The 22,177-nt window shown below is 34.7% G+C and overlaps 1 long non-coding RNA gene across 7 annotated transcripts; it reads right to left on the bottom strand.

The window, feature by feature from the left end:
- Positions 1-494: 494 nt before the first annotated feature.
- On the bottom strand, positions 495-18,203 carry LOC105377259 (uncharacterized). Of its 7 annotated transcripts, none has more exons than XR_938837.2 (4): positions 17,545-17,774; positions 12,455-12,564; positions 7,869-7,950; positions 495-572 (listed from the first exon to the last, which is right to left on the bottom strand). It is a non-coding gene; the product is annotated as an uncharacterized LOC105377259 (long non-coding RNA). The 7 variants fall into 7 exon arrangements; XR_938834.2 differs by lacking the exon at positions 495-572 and adding an exon at positions 18,107-18,203 and having other exon boundaries at positions 7,656-7,950; positions 17,545-17,706; XR_938838.2 differs by lacking the exon at positions 495-572 and adding an exon at positions 18,107-18,203 and having other exon boundaries at positions 7,656-7,950; positions 17,545-17,678.
- Positions 18,204-22,177: the final 3,974 nt, after the last annotated feature.

Genomic DNA, 22,177 nt, shown 5'->3' with positions numbered 1-22,177 from the left:
AATAAACAGAAAGTAATGACACACTCATTAGTGGAAATTGAGAGAATCTGGTACATATCCAAGTATCCAGCTGCAGCATTTAACTCAATGTTTATGATATATTTTCAAATCCTTTGCTTCAAGAGAATATTCAAACAATTATGCGTGAATTATTTTTTGTGTTCATAGTTAAAATAAAGAAGAATTGTATTTTTGTGTAATACTTCATAATTAAAGAAAGTTAAGTGAGTTTAAGGGCAAGAGCAATCAATTTTTATTTATTTTTACCACAAATGTGGCTTGTTATGATTTTTTATTAGTTTATATGTGTATTTATTTTCATTTTTACTATCAATCACTTTTGGGACATTGACACTTTTAGATGAAAATGTAATGGTCACTTTCAGATAAGAAAGAAAAATTAGTGAAATCATTAAAGTAGAAAAATAGAAGAAAGAATAAAATGACATATTCTACAGTAGTAAAAATTATATTTCATTTTAATTTATACTCCACAAGGTTCTCATGAGTTTCCCATAAGGAGACCAATCTTCCATTCAGGTTTTCATTGCAATGCCTTTGTTAGAACATGTCTGTTATAAAAAATTTGAAAATATAAATCAATCATAATCTTCACATATTTTCCTTGAAGATATTTATTTGCTAAATATTTTCTTTAATATTCAGTTTCATGGTACTTGATTCTTTTCAGCAGGCCATTCATTCTTAGGTAGTCCCCTGTTCAGGAAGAATAGCCACCCTAGAATAAATATACCCCTAAATGAGTTATTTAATTAAGAAAAGCCTCATTTCTCTACCTTTAAAATTTATATTTACTACCATTAAAGTAATTAATGCACCCAAATAAAAGGCTCAAATGAGGCATCTTTCCTCTATTCAGAGGAGCCCTCATTAACCTAGAAATGAAAGAGAGGAAGGAAGAGTTAAAGCATGCTACAACAGAACTTATTAGATGTTAAAGGATTTCTAGGTTCAGCCAATTTCTAAAATAATCGCTATGAAAAAATTAAATATTCTTTTCTTACACACCCTGGTTATCCTCTCAGTTTACTTTCCAAAACAATTTAGTCATTGACTGCACTCACATAGAGTAAAAACCAAATGTCTTGGCCGTGTGCTTTGTCATCAATGTACTTTTCCAGCCACATATTCCACAGAACCATTGAACATGTTGTTGCTTAAATATATTTTACATAATTCAACATCCACATCCACACTTTTAAATTTCCTTCTCCTTTCCTGAATTCTTCATGGCAAGACAGTTGGGGTTTAAATCTCAGCTTATCCACTTATGAGCTGCATGACTTTGGGTAAATTAAAGTAGTATGCGCTTTAGTTTCTTTATCTGCTAAATAGGGGCAGAAATAGTATATATCTTACATGAATAAATGAGTTAATGACTGGATGCTTTTATTCACTTATGTATCTTCCCAAATATAGGACACAGGTATTTTACTTTTCAGAACTTTTAAAGCACGAGACAAACATTACTGAACCATGAATAGTAAGGAGTAGGCCACACTAGAAAGGCCTGGCCTGAGTTTGTTGACTGAAAGGAATAATCATTTGAACCTAGAAGTTTACTAATAAATTGCATAGGTTTACTAATAAATTAATCACCAAGCATTTTGAAGAATATACTCCTGATAATGCCACAGAGAAAGAGTGAATCCCCAGTTCTTCATGGAGGTACACCCTACTCTGCCATTGTTTGTGTACCCAGGACCAAGTTTGAGAATGCACTCAGGGTCTACACCCAACATAAGGTAAGGGAAGCAGGATTAAGCAGAGGGAGAAGCTGAACTATGAAGTGTTTCAACAGAAGGCTCAGATGATCCACTGGCAAACCCTGGAGCTAGGGTGGCCTATAGATTTCTCTCAAATTCAGGTAAATGAACCAGGTTTTGTACCTCTTTCATCAAATAGTCACTGGATATGAGCTGCCCCAGAAAAAGGCCATAAACTTTAGGGTGGCATCTCCTTTCCTCTGAGGGTAATCCAGAGACAATATGTGATGTGGTTTTGCAGCCAGCACTCCCGTCAGCTGAGGGAACGTGTGCCTCAGCCATGTAGGGGAGATTTGGTGATGCATCTGTGTGTCCTTGAAGCCCCTTAAGGTTGAGTTCTGTGATAATTGTATGGACATTGCCAAGTTAGAGTAGCCAGAGAAATTGGTTTACTACATTTCATATCATGTGAGAGAAAATACACTCAGAATTACATACCTTCTATTTCTGACTGAATAATCTAATTTATACAAGGTCTGTCTATGGCCTATAGAAGATTATATTTAATTTATAGGCATTCAATACCAGCCAAATAAATTTATAATTAGGGTGTTTGCCACCAATTTAGGTTAGTGCAGAATAAAGTCATTTATATGTTCAAGAAGATAGTTCAGCAGAAGATGTGAGGGAGTAAAAGGAAGATTTTCCATTTTAACTAATTTTCAATTTTATTTTCCCAAGGAGAGGTACAAATTTTCCTATCACATTCCAAGTTAAGACTGGAGTGATTTAAACAGGAATTAGCCAATTTCTACTCTCAAAAAGTCATACAAAACTCTAAGCAATAAGTAGTTGATTTCCATAGGGTTTTTGCATGAATAACTGTAGGCATGATTGAGCCCACGCTCGCATCTTTATTGAGGTTGAGTTTAAGGTTTAAACCAATAACTTCAGTGAAGGGTGTGATTTAAAAACATCTTTCATATACTTAAGTTGAGTAGAATTTTCTCTTATCATTCATGTTTATGATGTAAAACCACTCCATTGGGTCAATTTAAAGCATGACTGATGCTATTCAAATATAAAATTTATAGCTTTCCTAAAATTTTATTATACATAAAAATCTTACTAAAAGAGTACGGGAAGTTTAGAGTGTTTAGAAATGGCTAGGAAAAAAATGCAAAAAAACAAACTGCTCTATAATATTCAAATACTTTCAATTTAATTTTAAAATTCAGTTTCTATCACTTTAAAAGACAATGAATAATTAATAAATTAAATTTTGTAAAGCAGAAATAAATATGATATGCCATTTCTTTTTTTGCCTGAGTTTCAAGTTAATTTTTTATTTTTATTTAAATGGTGGTTTGACCATCACATTCTCATATGAATTATGAAACACAAACTCTAAATTCAGAGAAAGATAGTAAGTCATAATTTGGGATAACAATAAAAACTAATTTTAATTTTTAAAACCAAAATGGAAAATCCAAGGTGACAGGTCAAAATGGAAGTGGTATTTATTGTCTTTATGTGTAGTTGTAATATGTAAAATATTGTAGTGAACACTAAAATAAGCAGTCAGAACAAAATCTTAAAGATGACCCCTAGAAGTAAGCATAGGAAATTAACATTACTAAACTTATAAATAGCCCCAGGTATAGTGTGTTATATGATCAAATAGGTTAGTTTCCAAAGACCAGACAGATTGGAGAAACTGATGAAAGCATGAACCCATTTTATTTTAGAACATACTTCTTTATGTTGAAATTAGAACATAACTTTTCAGGACCTTAAGATTTTCCAGAGAATTGCATTTTGTTCCACAAATAATCACTATTTTTAAAATACATAAATCATATAATTAAGAAGTGCTAATAACAAAAACGATTATTTGTGTTTACTAATTGGTATGCTCAAAATATCTATAAGTAAGTTTGCAGGCCAGTAAAAGCTTTAAAGGGCCCGACACTAAAATTTTCTAAAGATATTCTCCTCTTTAATATTTTCACTAACATTAATTTATTGCCCATCTATCCACACCATGCTGGACACATCTTCAAATTTTATGCAATTTAATTTTTACAAGTGCAAGATATGATTGCTATCTCAATTATTTTACAGATGAAAAAACTAAGATTTTATAAGAGTAAATAATGTACCCCAAATTCAAACCTAAATATGTTGTTCTGCCATGTTTTTTCTTACACATAAATTTCTTTGGTAAAATTTAGAAGGATATACACCTAATAACAACGAAGATTACCAACAGCCTTCTAATCAGTGGAAACTATATCTAGTGCTTTATATTCAGCACTGTACATTCCTATCACAACTCAGAAAAAAAAAGTACTTTTCACATTTGAAATAACTGAGGCTCAGAAAGTTTGTACAACTTGCCCACATAGTAGCACAGTTTACCAAGAACCTATAAAGTGCAGTCCTTGTTGCCACTGTGATATATTTATTTAAAAATAGCACGTCACAGTGATATTTATTTATTTAAAAAATAAATAATCCGGGAGCATGAATTAGGGCTATGAAAAGGAGAAACCTGTGGGAAGAACTCAGAAAAAAGACATGTCTAGATTTTAAATGAGAGAACGGTTAGAGGAACTATCAGAAGTTCTATGAGCTCCTTTTAACAATTTGAGAAGTTCTGATAATGTGCTTCGTGACCTTATGGTCATTTCATCATTCAGAAGCTACAAGAGTCGGATAACTAAGCCTTACATGTATGCTGTGAGAACTAACTAGATAATGTTAGTAATGTTTACTGAGTTCCTTAGAGAAAGGTGTCTAAAACTTTATAACCTGTTATAAAGAAATGCACTGAGGCTCTTTTGGTCCCTAACACAATTGGTGAGAATACAGAATATCTCACATTTGCGAAGGAAAGAGAGTAGAGAGGCACTAGAAAAAGATGGAGTACAGCACATAGAAGCATTTTCTTTTGCAGACAGTCTATATTTGCAGTTTATCTAACAGATAAAAGCCAGAAAAGTAAAATGAAAAATCAGTTATTGTGACTAATTCAGTTAACAAGATTAAGAGCAAAGGGCCTAAAATGCTGTATACAGAAAGAGAATGCAAAAAAAAAGTAATTGAAAGTAAAGACTTGCTAGCTGATGGGAAGCTGAGCTCTCCAAATCAGTCAGCTTAGAGTTTAGTTCACATTTGTGCCCAGGAGAAGGATTTATTTCTGATTATTTATTGGCTTTTGAAGTCAAAGTATTCTTAAACTAAAAGATCCATGGAAAGTGCAGTTGGGTAAGGGCTATATGTGCCATGTATCTGCAGAATTTTCAGGAGAATAAACAAGTCCTCAATGTATACAGATTAGAAAGATATATAAAAGACCACTTGCTTCATTATAGATCATTTTTTAGTCCCTAAATTGTCTAAATCTATAATTCTGTGTGTATGTGTATATGTGTGTGTATTTATATAATCTGCATTGCCAGATTTAACAAATAAAAATACAGAAAATCCACTTAAATTTGGATTTTTGATGAAAAGCAATTCTTAAATATATCTCCATCATTTCATCATACATACTTATACTAAAATATTGTTTGTTGTGTATCTGAAATTCAAATTTAACTGGCATCCTGTGTTTTATCTAACAGTTCAAGATAGAACCTTGGCACCAACATTGGGGAGGAAGTTTTTCTGTGTTCACACAGATGAAGAAACAAGACTTTTAGAAAAATAAATTGTTTTGTTTTGTTTATTTGCCTATTAACTAACCCAGATGACTCTTATGAGAGCAAAAATGCCCAAAACACTTCATTTTCAATTAAATTGACTGAAATTAGCTCAGATCCTAAGATATCAAAACTGACAAGCACCAGTATTTCCTAGGAGTCTGACTGGTGATACCCCTAAATTGTCTGTAGCTTAATCTCACACTGAAAAAAATACTGTGTTTTGAATCACATGTAATTCATATTTTATTGTGTATAGATTTGTCATATATGGTGAAGATATGACCTTATTCTCTTAGGAGTTTGGCTATGCCTGGACCCAAGTGGAAAAGTGGCGGAACAGGCCTCTTATAAATGGTTTGAGTGTGTACAGAGGAACTAGAAGAACACAATCAAGCTGTCCAGTTGGAAATGCAGACATCACTGAATATATGTTGAAGTATGCATTTGTCAATTGTGCCACCTTTGGTTAATTTACATGCATATTGTGCAACTGACCTTGTTATAATTCATTCTAGGAGAATAAGAAATTGGGCACCACAAGTGAGATTCAGCATCAAAGCTCTTGAGAGATGTAGAACTGTGTTTGTTGGCTGTTACCTTGTGCAAACTGACCTGTACTATTTCCATTATTAATTTCAACATTAAGGATTACTGGAAATCTTACTAGAAAACATTTTTAGCCTTGAATTGTAAAATGTACATGAGGACCATGTAGGCACTCACCCTATTTGCCCATCCCCTTCCCTTTTCTAGTTATGTTCAATGGAACCAAGTTACAGACTGAATTCTGCTGTACATACATTTATTAGTAAACAGGCACAGAAACAGTCAAACGAACTGTTCTGTAATCTCAGCAAAGCCTCAACTCCCTATCATTTTAGGTGTTCTGAGAGCGTCTAGAATAAAAGTTTCACTAGAGGCAAGCGCATCAGTATTCTTCAGGCACCATACATCCAAACTTAAACTCAGAGTCAGGAGGCAGAATTCTTCGATAATCATTTGTACACGGGATTGCCCTGAATCCTAATTTAACAGACTCATTCCAAAGAGCATTGGCTATATTTTTTTCCAAGAAAAGTTACTCAATTCCTACGTTTTGAATACCAATCTTTAAACCTGTAAAATAATTTCTAGCATCCATTATGTTAATTAGTAATACCCATGCTTGATCAGAGATAAAGAGTGCTAAAGTCTGTTCATAGTTCCTTCTGGAATGTGAGCTTCGGGTTAGTTTAAGGAAGTTCAATGTTAAAACTATTGAAAAGGTATAGATAAAACATATGTGACACGCATATGTCTACAAAGTACTTTAAAGAAAATTTCAGTTATAATACACCTGAATCTAGTCTTGAACATGCTGTGAGCAAAATCAAAATAGATGTGCTACTGAAATGTGCAAAAAATCACAAGACCTAAAAAGCATGTCATTAACACGACATGAGGAGGACCATTTTCTGACTTTCAGAGCAGTGCTCAGAATTGCCATTTTGAGGCTCTTGGAGGTCATTAGCACAGAACATTTCTGCATCAAGGGGCAGAATAATGTTCTTTAATATAATAATGGCAGCAACCTTCACATCTGGTGAAGCAACACAAAGCAGGTCAGCACCAGACGGGACTGGTGTGGAGCAGCAGAATATTGATGCTGCTGAGAGGAGCAATGTAGGCATTGTGGAATTTCTGCATTCATAAGATCTCTTCAAGTACTCTCTCAATAACAAGGGAGTCCTTTCAATTAAAAAGCAGAAGTAATAAGCCAGTCAAAGTCAGGTTCTACTGCTGATGTGACTTCTTTTGTATTCATAAGCACATGATGCCTCGAAAATTTTAATTACATTTATAAACATTTTTTGACCCGTAATTTACTAGACATTGGTAGACTCAGAACTAAAATAAATGACTTTAAATTATTATAATGCTGTCCATGTAAAAAGCATGCATTTATTTTTATTTACCATTTCCTCATATGGCTTTTGAAAATTCTGTAAAAATTTGGTTAAAATGTTGATATTATGGTCCCAATCCTTCTAACCATGCAGATATATTCTTATGCTCCATTCTTACACATATATTAGTAATGTAGTCAAGGGGAAATTTACAAACAAATATAATGATCTTCTAAAGAATTATTTTTAGATTTATCTTTATTGTAGAAAACATATCCTTATGTGATTCCTTGATTTGAAAACGTACGTTTTAGTTACTTCTTTGAGCAATATTTTTTTCATCAATTTTTTATTTTAATTTTCCATAATTTCCTTCTACAACGTGATTTTAGAGGCCCAATACAATCAGGATATGCAAAGTTATGCTATAATAACAAATAACCCCCAAATCTCAGTGGCTTCCAAAATCAATAACTTATTATTCGTGCTATCCATTTACCCTCCATAAGCCAACGGTTTTGCTCTGAGACTGATTAAGCAATTACCATTTTGAATATTTTAGGATTTGAAGATTGAAGGAAAGAATTCTTTAGAAAGTCTTGTGTCAACAAGTTCGAAATCTGGCCACTAGAAAAAAGAAAAATAATTCATTTACTCATTCCCTCATTCAATAACTACCTTTTAGTACCTAATAGGTAGGCAAGCACTATTCTAGGTTCTTAGAAAACACCATAAAAAATTACAATGAAAACTGTCAAAGCAAAAATTGCATTGTACCAAAATAAACAAGCAAGGAAGATTTATTCAAGTCTGGTGCAATCTTCTGATCTCTGAGAGAGAGATCAGAACTCAGTCTGAGCTCAACTCTGCTGATACAAAGGGCAGGAAAATTTTTAGGAGCTGGGATTAAAAGGATCACAGGCTATCTCTGTTTCCTTTGACATTACCCAAAGGAAAAATTAATTTTATAACTTAAAGCAAGGTGCTTGCCTCCTGAGTTTGGGTCTCTACCATCCTACAGAGACTGGGAAATAGAGACTCTATCTTGTGCTATGATGACATTTCTTTTTTTTTATACTTTAAGTTCTCGGGTACATGTGCACAATGTGCAGGTTTGTTACATATGTATACATGTGCCATGTTGGTGGGCTGCACCCATCAACTTGTTGTTTACATTAGGTATATCTCCTAATGTTATCCCTCCCCCCTCCCCCCACCCCACAACCTGGTGTGTGATGTTCCCCTTCCTGTGTCTAAGTGTTCTCATTGTTCAGTTCCCATATATGAGTGAGAACATGTGGTGTTTGGTTTTCTGTCCTTGCAATAGTTTGCTGAGAGTGATGGTTTCCAGCTTCATCCACGTCCCTGCAAAGGACATGAACTCATCCTTTTTTATGGCTGCATAGTATTCCATGGTGTATATGTGCCACATTTTCTTGATGCAGTCTATCTTTGATGGACATTTGGGTTGGTTCCAAGTCTTTGTTATTGTGAATAGTGCCACAATAAACATACGTGTGCATGTGTCTTTATAGCAGCATGATTTATAATCCTTTGGGTATATACCCAGTAATGGGATGGCTGGGTCAAATGGTATTTCTAGTTCTAGATCCCTGAGGAATCGCCACACTGTCTTCCACAATGGTTGAAGCAGTTTACAGTACCACCAAGAGTGTAAAAGTGTTCCTATTTCTCCACATCCTCTCCAGCACCTGTTGTTTCCTAACTTTTTAATGATTGCCATTCTAACTGGTGTGAGATGTTATCTCATTGTGGTTTTGATTTGCATTTCTCTGATGGCCAGTGATGATGAGCATTTTTTCATGTGTCTGTTGGCTGCATAAATGTCTCCTTTTGAGAAGTCTCTGTTCATATCCTTTGCCTGCTTGTTGATGGTGTTGTTTGTTTTTATCTTGTAAATTTGTTTGAATTCTTTGTAGGTTCTGGATATTAGCCCTTTGTCAGATGAGTAGATTGCAAAAATTTTCTCCCATTCTGTAGGTTGCCTGTTCACTTTGATGGCAGTTTCTTTTGCTGTGCAGAAGCTCTTTAGTTTAATTAGATCCTATTTGTCAATTTTGGCTTTTGTTGCCATTGCTTTTGGTGTTTTAGACATGAAGTCCTTGCCCATGCCTATGCCCTGAATGGTATTGCCTAGGTTTTCTTCTAGGGTTTTTATGGTTTTGGGTCTAACATTTAAGTCTTTAATCCATCTTGAATTAATTTTTGTATACAGTGTAAGGAAGGGATCCAGTTTCAGCTTTCTACATATGGCTAGTCAGTTTTCCCAGCACCATTTGTTAAATAGGGAATCCTTTCCCCATTTCTTGTTTTTGACAGGTTTGTCAAAGATCAGATGGTTGTAGATGTGTGGTATTATTTCTGAGGGCTCTGTTCTGTTGCATTGGTCTATATATCTGTTCTTGGTACCAGTACCATGCTGTTTTGGTTACTGTAGCCTTATAGTATGGTTTGAAGTCAGGTAGTGTGATGCCTCCAGCTTTGTTCTTTTGGCTTAGGATTGTCTTGGCAATGCGAGCCCTGTTTTGGTTCCATATGAACTTTAAAGTAGTTTTTTCCAATTCTGTGAAGAAAGCCATTGGTAGCTTGATGGGGATGGCATTGAATCTATAAAATACCTTGGGCAGTATGGCCATTTTTATGAGATTGATTCTTCCTATGCATGAGCATGGAATGTTCTTCCATTTGTTTGTATCCTCTTTTATTTCGTTGGGCAGTGGTTTGTAGTTCTCCTTGAAGAGGTCCTTCCAATCCCTTGTAAGTTGGATTCCTAGGTATTTTATTCTCTTTGAAGCAATTGTGAATGGGAGTTCACTCATGATTTGGCTCTCTGTCTGTTATTGGTGTATAAGAATGCTTGTTATTTTTGCACATTGAGTTTTTATCCTGAGACTTTACTGAAGTTGCCTATCAGCTTAAGGAGATTTTGGGCTGAGACGATGGGGTTTTCTAAATATACAATCATGTAATCTGCAAACAGGGACAATTTGACTTCCTCTTTTCCTAATTGAATACCCTTTATTTCCTTCTCCTGCCTAATTGCCCTGGCCAGAACTTCCAACACTATGTTGAATAGGAGTGGTGAGAGAGGGCATCCCTGTCTTGTGCCAGTTTTCAAAGAGGATGCTTCCAGTTTTTGCCCATTCAGTATGATATTGGCTGTGGGTTTGTCATAAATAGCTCTTATTATTTTGAGATACGTCCCATCAATACCGAATTTTTTGAGAGTGTTTAGCATGAAGAGCTGTTGAATTTTGTCAAAGGCCTTTTCTGCATCTATTGAGATAATCATGTGGTTTTTGTCTTTGGTTCTGTTTATATGCTGGATTACATTTATTGATTTGCATATGTTGAACCAGCCTTGCATCCCAGGGATGAAGCCCACTTGATCATGGTGGATAAGCTTTTTGATGTGCTGCTGGATTCGTTTTGCCAGTATTTTATTGAGGATTTTTGCATCGATGTTCATCACGGATATTGGTCTAAAATTCTCTTTTTTTTGTTGTGTCTCTGCCAGGCTTTGGTATCAGGATGATGCTGGCCTCATAAAATGAGTTAGGGAGGATTCCCTCTTTTTCTATTGATTGAAATAGTTTCAGAAGGAATGGTAAAGGATTATTTCTAACATAGTCAGGTTTTTGGTGTGTGTGTCTGTGTGTTTATGTAAAACTGACTGCTTATGTAAAACTGACTGCAATGTAATAATGTATAAAATAATATTTGACAGAAAACAGGTCTAATATGGAACTACCTACCAAAAGAAATGAAAAGTTAAGTTCAAAATTATTTCATTTTGAGATGACGTAACTTTAGAATGTCTCATGCCCTATTCATGGAGTAGTGTCACTGTGGGTTGTTATCTCTATAATATCATGGAGTTTTAAAATATCTATTGCATCAAAACAAAACACAGACCCTGAGTTGCTCCCAACTATGTTATTTGGATTAACATAAATGGGATTTTTTAGTCTGTCTAGGCTTTTCTCTGAAGCAAGTCAACTTGACAAACAGCATTGTAGCATTGTAAAGTGTAAGAACTAGCTATAATCAATGTCTCAGGGCCTCTTCATTCATAGAAAAAAAAATTAAAGAACAGCAGTCGGCTATGTAGAAAACACACACACACACACACACACACACACACACACACACACACACTGGCATCAATATTGCATATATTAATACCTGAGAAAAGTAAGAAGTCATTCAATGTGAACATAACTTATCAATACAATAAGTCTATACTGAGATCAAATACATATAGAAACTGAATCAAACGGAAATCAGCAAACTATCTTAGAACAGGATGAGACATTTCACATATCAACCATCCCTAATCCATCTAACATCTTTCAGACAAAAGGGCATTTTGTTTACCATCTTGTTAAGGAAATTAGGTGATATATCAGCAAGCCTTCATTTAGATTTAGTTATGATTTTTTATGATATGCTCTGAGATTTGTTTCAAAATTTAGAATATTGAGATCAGCCAAAACGTATATATACATTGCTCACAATTTTTAAAGAAAAATAAGGATTTTCTGTAATATAAATCTACTGTTGAAGCATATATGCCAGGTAATCAAAAATATTTTTAGATTTTACTTTCATATTACCCAAAGATATGCCTTCAGGAAATCATTCTGAAAAGATAATTTTTAAGCTTGTCAAAAAAATTCATTATTTTTTACTACTATTGGCTAGAAATGGTTTACAATGTTGAACACCTGCACTGCAGAGAGTGTTAACTATTTATTTTGGAAGCAGATGATAAAAGACTATCTCTTAATAGAGCACATTACCTACTGGACAGAAGAAAGTAAAAGCATACTCAAAAGTAAGTAATATTTAGTGCTGCAATACCTATAGTAAGAGAACATCAAATTTTATAGTCTTAATAGCAAACTCTATAGAAATTTAGTTGCCTTTTTATACAATCCCAACTGTATCCTTGAATAAAGTGTCTATTTGTGATTAAATATTCTGTGTGTGAAATTCCTAAAACATCACTAAACATGCATCTCTCCGCACTGAGAAAATTTACTCTGACACAGAGACGATGTTTTTAATTAATAAGAAAAAGCAATTTAATCTCAAGAACTTCACTTACTTTTTTCCATTTGTGGTCTGGAAGTTCTTGTCCTCCATTTTTCTTCTTTTTATCAAGGAATTTATTTTTTAATGTTTCTCCTTTTAGTGCCATTTGTAGATTTAAATTTTCTGGAAAGAACAGACATGTCACATATTGTGTGGAGTATATATTGAAGTATAATAAAGATAGCCTAAAAATACTTTTAAGGACAATGATAACCTGGATTTTTTAAATAGCAGAAGGCTCTTTTTATATTTGGTTGTGATCTTGTGCTAATATCAGTGTAAAGACAGAGCCTACGGAGCTAATCAGGGGATTTTATTGTGAATTGTTATTGTTTTATTTGTCTTTCCTCCCCCTTATTGCATCTGAGATGGCTTCAATTTGCGCCTTTATAGGGCCACTAGGATGTTTCAGTCTGAGGTGCAGCTTCTGGAGTAACAAAAATAAAGGAAATAACCCTGGCCTTCAAGAACCTCAAGTTAACAGAAAAGTAGATGCATACAGTTGGATCCAAAGTACAAGAATTGTCATAAAAATTCCCTCTGGCAACACTTACGCAGAAAAAAATTTTTTAACTCTTTTTAAAAATAAATATGATATTATTTATTGTGTAGTCAGTTTTCCTCTAAACACTGAACCTTATTTTCTGTAATCTAAAAACATATATAGCAAGCTTTTGATTGCTTATTGATTTATGGGTAGAACCTATTTTATAATGTTTATTTTAGTCTACAAGTCAAACAACCATTTTATAGACTAACCATAATTAACAAGTTATTTATTTGATTTTTTGTTTGTTTGTTTTGTTTTTTGAGACCGAGTCTCTCTCCGTCACCCAGGCCGCAGTGCAGTGGCGCGATCTTGGCTCACTGCAAGTTCCGCCTCCCCGGTTCACACCACTCTCTCCCTCAGCCTCCCAAGTAGCTGGGACTACAGGCACCTGCCACCAAGCCCAGCTAATTTTTCAATTTTTTTTTTTTTTTTTTTAGTAGAGACGGGGTTTCACCATGTTAGCAAGGATGGTCTCCATCTCCTGACCTCGTGATCCCCTCCTCTCGGCTTCCCAAAGTGCTGGGATTACAGGCGTGAGCCACAGCACCCAGCTTTATTTAATTTTTATATTTGGATAACAAAGTATTAAAACTATATGGAAAGTGTTCCTTGTAGCAAAGGATGAAAACTATCACTGTCATGGAGTATATGCTCTATTTGTGGCTATTGTCCATACAGATAATTTTTAGTTATCTTATTTAATCAATTTTAAAAGTGAATAAAGTTGTCCAAATATAATTATGTAGAAATAAACTATAATTTAATATAAAGTATATAAACTTAAAATTTTAAATATTGTACATCTTCATAAAGTATTAATAATTTGCCATATTTGCTTCAGATATATTTAAAGAACTAAAAATATTTTAGGTAGATTTGAAACTCTATGGGTTGTTTCCATTGCCATTTTTCTTTGTAACATACCCCAGACATGATAAACACTATCTGGAATATGTGGAATACGGTGAGAATTTCTAATTTTTTATCTGTATACACATCTATAGGAAAAACATAGTGTTATTTGACATGTTTCTTGTTATCACATTTTGTGAACATGTAGTCTTTCTTATTTTGGTTCTATATTTTGTTTTTGAGATTCACTCCTTTATGTTATATCTACCTGTTCACTTTGAGAACTTTATATAATCCATCATATAAATGTGCCACTATTTATGTACTTATTTTTTTACATATATTTCAGTTGATACTTTCTTATTGTGATGAACTTTTTTTTGTCAATAAATATTCTTAGCATTCTCATTTTTCCTATGTGCTGGGGTTTCTCTATGGTAGTGGGGCCTGAGTGGTAAGAATCACTTTATTTTTACTTAGTTCTTGAATGCCATTATTATTATTATTATTTTGAGACAGGGTTTCACTCTGTCCCCCAGGCTGCAATGCAGTGGCACAATCTCAGCTCACTGCAACCTCCACCTCCCGGGATCAAGGGATTCTCAAGCCTCAGCCTCTCGAGCAGTTGGGATTATGGGCACCTGCCACCATGCCCGGCTAATTTTGGTATTTGGTAGAGACAGGGTTTCACTAAGTTGGCCAGGCTGGTCTTGAACTCATGACCTCAAGTGATCTGCCCGGCTCAGCCTCCCAAAGTGCCGGAATTACAGATGTGATTTACCATGCCCAGCCAATTCTTAAATACTAACAACCTTTTCCCAGGACCCTCCCTAGAGAAGCCTGGGTAGATTTTTGGTTTTGGTTTTGTTTTGTTTTACATTTTAAGCATCTGGTTTTTTGTTTTGTTTTGATTTTCTTTTTACTTTTGAGTTCAAGGGTACAAATACAGGTTTGTTTCATAGGTAAACTTCTGTCATGGGGGTTTGTTGTACAGATTATTTCTTCACCCAGGTATTAAGCCTAGTACCCATTAGTTATTTTCCCCTATCGTCTCTCTCCTCCCACCCTCCACTCTGGTATTTTCCAATGTCTGTTGCTGCCCTCTGTGTGTTCACGTGTTCTCATCGTTCAGTTCCCACTTAGAAGTGAGAACATGCAGTTTTTGTTTTTCTGTTTCTGTGTTAGTTTGTTAAGGATATTTTCCAACTCCTTCTATGTCCCTGCAAAAGACGTTCTTGTTTTTATGACTGCATGGTAATCCATCATGTATATATAACACATTTAGTTTATCCAATGTATCACTGATGGGCATTTAGGTTGATTCCATGTCTTTATTTTTAATTGACCACCCAACTTTTAAGTCCAAGGTAGTATGGGAAATGCAGCTCTTGGAACAATTCTTACATGTGGAATTGCTGGGCCTGTCTGACAAGACATGGTCATACTGATTAGCTACAATAAAATTTGTCTCCAAAGAGGTTATGTTGCTTTGCAGGCACATAAGCAGTGTATGTAAGTTCAAATTTCTTTAAATCTTGGTAACATCATACTTTATGTGTGATGGTGTGTGTGTGTGTGTGTGTTGAATGATTATAAAAAGGTTCGGATTTGTGTAATATTTCTCTGGATATTGACCGTCTTCATATGCACTTCTTAAGTTGAATGCTTAGCTCATTTATTTTAATATTTCTAATATTTTTAGTACATACAGTCATCTAATGTCAAGTATCTCCCTTCATTCTATGAAGATTTGTGTTCTGAAATACTGTCCCACTCTCCAATACTACCTTTATCATAAATTTGGGTAATTTTGTTATCATATAAAAGATTCTTCTTACTGAATGTCCTGCACACTATCTCAACCACTCTGTGGTTATAGATTTGACTTTACATTGCAAAAAAATCTGCAGTACTTCCATGTCAAGTGTTTCATTCTTAAACTCTTGTTTCTAATATCTCTAGGACATTCTTTATAAAAAATTTTCATTTGAACAGTTCCTGTTACCTTCTACCACATTATTTTTTTATTTTTCATTACTATCATATTCTAATATTATTTTTATTCCTTTAATCTTTGTCATGAGGTGCTTTGAGGTTTTTGAAGGGTAAAAATCGTATCTGGGATACTCCCTTAGTGTGAGGACTCCAGGAGTTTCTTACTCTCATGCTAGCATATGCATAGCCTCCAGAAGTCCATCAAAATTACATCTAAGTTTTGGCTTCAGTGGCTTCTGCTACCAATAAGCAGATCTCAGTTGTGGATCTGACTTCATTCTCTCTCCAAATTCACACTGGTGGTTTGCCCTGCAACCTGACTTCTGTGACTGATCTCTGAAAAGTTGTTGATTTCTACTTTATTCAGCTTTTTTTTTTTTGCAAAAATGGAAGTGAGAATTTCCTAGCTTTTTACATGTCAGAGCTGACACAAGAATATTTCAACAATGTCTGAATCCTTGAATCAGATAATCTAGATCAAAGTCTAATTCTTTTTAATCTTGAGTAAATCTCTCTCTCTCGTATGTATGTTTGTGTCTGTCTGTCTGTCTGTCTTTCTGTATCTCCCTCATCTTTCTTCCACACATCCTAAGTCTCTCTTTCTTCATCTGATAAAGTACAGATCAAAATAATAACTGTTCTTCCTGTCTTCTAGGTAGGATTTGATTTTTTTAAGTACTCAATACAATGACTTTGTTAGTTAATAATTATAATACTTTAGTAAATGACTATAAAAATACTATAGCAACTTCTATATATCTAGCTTCTCCTACAATAAATTTAATAGCTGATTTAAAATTACTATCTTCTTTAATTCTTACAAAATCCAGGTACATTAATATACAGGTCCACAAGATATGTTGCATATATTTAGGTTCTGCAGGCATACCCAGCCTTACAGTGTTATACACGTCATCCTAAAACCCCAAGTTGCTGTACAACTTTGAGCCAATATATTAGGCTTTGATTTGGATAAATGGCTACAGTTATTTATCCAAATAAACACTGAAAAAATATCTTAGTAAAATTGAGGGACAGAAGATTTTATTCTTTACCCCAGCATTTTCAAGTTAGTGACCAGAAGACTGAATTTTTACTGGATGTAATTTCTTTCTTTCCTTTTTTATTATTCTACAATATTTTTCACAATATTTTAATTTGTGACTAGCCTTTGAAAATTAAAATAACTCAGATTAATGTTTGGATTAATATTCAAATTCTTGCTTTCTCTTGAACAATAAAAAGATTTGGCAAATCTGTACCCACATTCTTTTCTGACAAAAATCAGTTGGAAATTATTTGTGGCTGATTTGGCAGGCTGTATGCACTTCAGTTCACTACAGTCCTTACCATTTCCTAGTTTGACACCCAAGCTTGCTTCAGTTGTTTCTTTACAGGTAGATAGGAGAGTTTTTGTTTTAACATTTCAGTCCTTTGAACTGAAGTTTTAATCTAAACATCCATTTTTATTTGAGTTGTCAATCAACATAACAATGGAAACCATACATGAAATGGGCCCAATCACTGACTTCTTTGCCCCTTTCTTGCTTACTAGCAATTGGATAATCCATCATATAACATATTTAACCTGACAAATGTGCAACTGGTCATTTTAGATGGCAGCTTCCCAATGCTTCAGAAACTTTCAGAAACAAAGAAACAACAAAAATTCATGAAGTTATTCAGATTAGGGACTATGCAGGTACCTTCTGTCACTTCACCTTCAGAATCCTTTTCCCCATGTTATATTCTTCTCTATGCAGAATGACAGGTCATCAAAGGCGGCAAAATACTCCAAGAGGAATGTGAATGGTGAAAGCCGTAAAGTGGTCTCTCCTACCTGATACATGTTGTATTCCTTTAGTTTTCTGAGAATATTTTTAGTTAAATGTAATAAATCACTTATTTTTAAAGTTTTCTTAGTTTTTAAGTGTTGAAATTGTTTCTTTATTATGTTCCTAAACACACAAAAAAAGGAAAGGTAACACAACATTGCATAAGATTCAAGCTAGGGGAAGAAGCCTATGCTGGACAAGATTTCTAGTGCCCAGCCTTATACAGGAATAGTTAAGAAAGATAAAAAATATTGCATTTTATTGATGTGTAACCCTGGGCTCAGAGAAGCTAAGTGATTTTTCCAAGACTACACAGTGGTGACAGGGAGCACCCTACGGGCTTTCAGTCATTCATGAGTTCATAGCCTGGCTCTGTTATTCATCAGCTGTGTAAATTGGCCAAAGTTATCTAAATTTTCTCAGGCCTACTCACCTCACCTATAAAATAAAGATAGCTATACCCATTCTGTAGGGTTGTTTTCACGATTAAGTGAAATAAGACCTGTAAGCACTTAACCTATACAGGTCAAGCATCCCTAATATGGAAGTCCAAAATCCAAAATTCTCCAAAATTTGAAACTTTTTGAGCACCTATATTACATCATAAGGGAAAAATTCCACACCTAACCTCTTGTGGTGAGTCACAGTCAAAATGCGGATACACAACACAGAATTCATTCACTGTCACCAGGTAAAAGGCCTTCTCAGCTCTCTTTAGCTGTGATATATTTTTTCAGTGCATTCCCAGATTCTCCCACATGCCCACAGGCAAGCAGACCCGCAGAGGGTAATATAATGGCACCTGTGCAGGCTGGACCTGCCCACAGCAGCTTCCCCATTATGCAAAGAGATACTTCTTGGACAAAAACCATTGTTAGTGAGGCAGATGACTCTAGAGGAAACATTTAAAAAGCCACCCAGTGGAATGCCTCTTCATCCCTAGGGACCTATTTCCCGGTCCCTCAATGGCTTCTGATGTTTCCTCACCTAAAAAATTAAAATGTGCGGTACAGTAACCTTTTAATCAGAGCACAGCATCATAGGGGAAGACTGAAAGCCTGCCATTGTTTCTTGTTGCTGTTATTTAAAGCTGATACTGTTATTGTAGTGATGCTACGGTGCTGCTTAGTTGCGCTGACACATTATTTTTTCACTGCATGAACGGTATGTTGTTTTTTTTTTTTTACTATTAAATACTGTGTGTGACTTAGTGTAAGAAGATGGTTACTTATCGGCCGGGCGGCGGTGGCTCACGCCTGTAATCTGAGCACTTTGGGAGGCCGAGGCGGGCAGATCACGAGGTCAGGAGATGGAGACCATTCTGGCGAACACGGTGAAACCCTGTCTCTACTAAAAATACAAAAATTAGCCGGGCGTGGTGGCGGGCGCCTGTAGTCCCAGCTACTAGGGAGGCTGAGGCAGGAGAATGGCGTGAACCTGGGAGGCGGAGCTTGCAGTGAGCTGAGATTGCGACACTGCACTCCAGCCTGGGCGACAGAGCAAGACTCTGTCTCAAAAAAAAAAAAAAAAAAAAAAAAGAAAATGGTTATTTATCAGTAGCATATAATTTCAGAGTCAGAAATAATGGTAATGCCAGACAACTACAGATTGTTCACACAGGTAGCTGAGGCAGTGACACCTTTACTTTTTAATGTTTCCATTAAATGTACACAAATTTTGTTTCATGCACAAAATTATTTAAAATGTTGCATGAAATTACCTGCAGACTATATGTATAAGGTATATATAAAACATACATGAATTTTGTGTTCAGACTTGGGTCCTATCTACAAGATATCTCATTACATATATGGAAATATTTAAAAATCTGAAACTCTCTGGTTCCAAGCATTTCAGAAAAGGAATACTCAACCTGTAATCCCTGGTATATTTTTAAAAAGACAAATAGATAGCAAATAGTTATTTGTTTGAATACATTTTATTTATCTAAATAAATATGTGTTCATTAATTCACCAGTGTTTTATAATGCTATTATTCAGACCCATGTTTCTTAAGTAAAATAAATACTTAGGCATCATAAGAATGTATTACTTTGGATATGGTATATATAGTAGCACTAATGCAAGTGTGTATAAAATGCAAAACTAAGCTAAACTAAAACTAAAACCAAATGGACACAAGAAATCACCAGTTCAAATTTATTTCTACCATGCTAATAAAGCAACACTGAGCTCATTTGGGGACATATTGTCCAGATGCCAGTATTCAGGCACCTACATAAAGCTGTTAAGTGAAACGAGAGAAAACCTTCAAGGGCCTGGTAGCTGTAGCCTCTGTTTGCTATCTTAACACAGCACAACAAATGGATGCATTAGGAAGTGCTATATTGTATATGCCTGAATACCTATGTTAGTCTGGGAAGCACACATATATCATCCATTTCGCTGCACCAGTAGCAAGAAATAATTAGTGGGAAACCGAGCAATTTCAAATTGACCATATCAATATTTTTAAAAAATACTTTATAAAAAAGATAAAAACATATCAAGCTGTCATGATGGGAAATCAGATGAAAAACGTTGCTTTGCAATTTTCTAATTCAATTAAAACCTGAATCAATAATTACCAGTTTATAAAAGTGATATGCTATAGATTATTAAAATGAGGTGCAACCCTTATTTTTATTAATTAGATGGAAAAATGAAAAACAAAAAAACTTATGTAAAAATACAGTGAAAATATAACAGGTAAATAGTTGTTATATTACATATCATTTATTTGTTCAAATATTCATTGATCTATTCCTTCAATAAATATGTGTTATGAACATATTATTTGCCTCTTTAATCTCTGGGTATAAGTTAGTGAAAGTAGACCCTTTGCCCAAATGTAACTTAGGTGCTGGGAGAATCATTCTGGCAATAAACAAGTAAACTTAAATATACAACATTGCTTAGGGTAAAGAGATAATGTGTGATGAGCAGGGCTATTTTGATAGAGCATTTATCAAAGAGGTGATCTCTAAGCAGAGATAAATAATGTGAGGGAATATCAATGCAAAGATCCAGAGGAAAATATTCCAGGCAGTGGAAAGAAGAACACTGAAAAAGGTTGTTGTACTTGAAGTACATTAAGCTGCTTTGAGCCATGAGAGCCATGGAGGGAATACGGTATGTGATTAGGGAGTAAGGTAGGGTCTAGATTGGATCGAATCATCTAGATTATGGTGGAATTGAGATTTCATTCTGTGATAGGAAGCAATAGGAGGTAGTAAGCATAAAAGTGATATAAAGTAACTCATTTGAAAAATATACATCAGTAAATTATTTTGTGGGAAATGACCTGTAGGAGGCAGCACTGGAGATCAGGACACCTTTTAAGAGGATGCTGCCAACGTTCATGTAACAACTGGAGACTGTGGCATTCCTATACTACTCTTTCTGACATAACCTGGTTTGCATTGTTAATAATCTCTATGCCCTTGTAGAAGGCATTACATATTTTCAAAAGTGTCATCTCATTTGAAGTTAATAGGAGTAGCGTTACTGTTTCATTTTACAAATTAAGAAGCCAAGATATAAATATAAGTGCGCTCTTAAGGGTAATTATGTGAGAACTGTGGCAAAGAACATCCTCTTGCTTCCTAATGCTAAATATATGTTTAAATATATCAAGTTATAGGGTGTCTACAATAACAAGCTTAAACTACTCTTAATCTAAATGTTACTATTTAATAATATTTAATTTAATACATTTATTGAACTATATCTAAAATGGTATCTGGATAGCACTACCTAATACTGTGCCTCTATGTATTTACTAAAACATTTATGAAAACAAGAACATGTCAAAAACATAATAAAGCAAACTGAATTAGAGAGGTAATTAATTACAAAAATCAGAGTAGTATATTCTCTATCTACAACAGAATTTAATATTACAACTGGTAAATGAGGCTCCCCTGTCATTCTGATACCCTATTCTTACCAGGCACCCTAATTTAAGGTTCTTCCTAAGCCTTAAATTTCCAGTGTGCACATTACCCAAAGCAAACAAACAAACAAAAGGAAAACATGAACACCTGTCCCTTTAGCACAATTGCTACCATTTCAATTTTCTTTTTTCTTCTACATATTATAGTATGTACAGTTTTCATTCTAACAGTATTAAAAGTTTATTATTACGCATGCATGTGCACTCACACACACACCTAAACAATACTGAATCATGGAAAGTGAAAAGTACAGTCCTTTTTCCCAGCCTACCAAGCCATGCTGTTCAGGTGTAAAAACTGCTAATCTTTTCTTGTATATGTTTCCAGAAATGTTCCATTTGTGTGTGTGTACACTTCTTCAAGAAACTGAAATGAGACCATATATACTGTCGTGACTCCTGCATTATTTATGAGCATAGGTATATATCAAACTCTTTTTTACACATGTGCCATGGTGGTTTGCCGCACATATTGACCCATCTTGTAATTTCCCTCCCCTCACCCTCCACCACCCAACAGGCCCTGGTGTGTGCTATTTCCATCTCTGT

This window comes from Homo sapiens, chromosome 4, assembly GCF_000001405.40.
Source record: "Homo sapiens chromosome 4, GRCh38.p14 Primary Assembly".
Taxonomy (NCBI): Eukaryota; Metazoa; Chordata; class Mammalia; order Primates; family Hominidae; genus Homo; species Homo sapiens.
The sequence above is the reverse complement of the archived record's forward strand: the minus strand, read 5'-3'. Positions and strand labels throughout refer to the sequence as shown.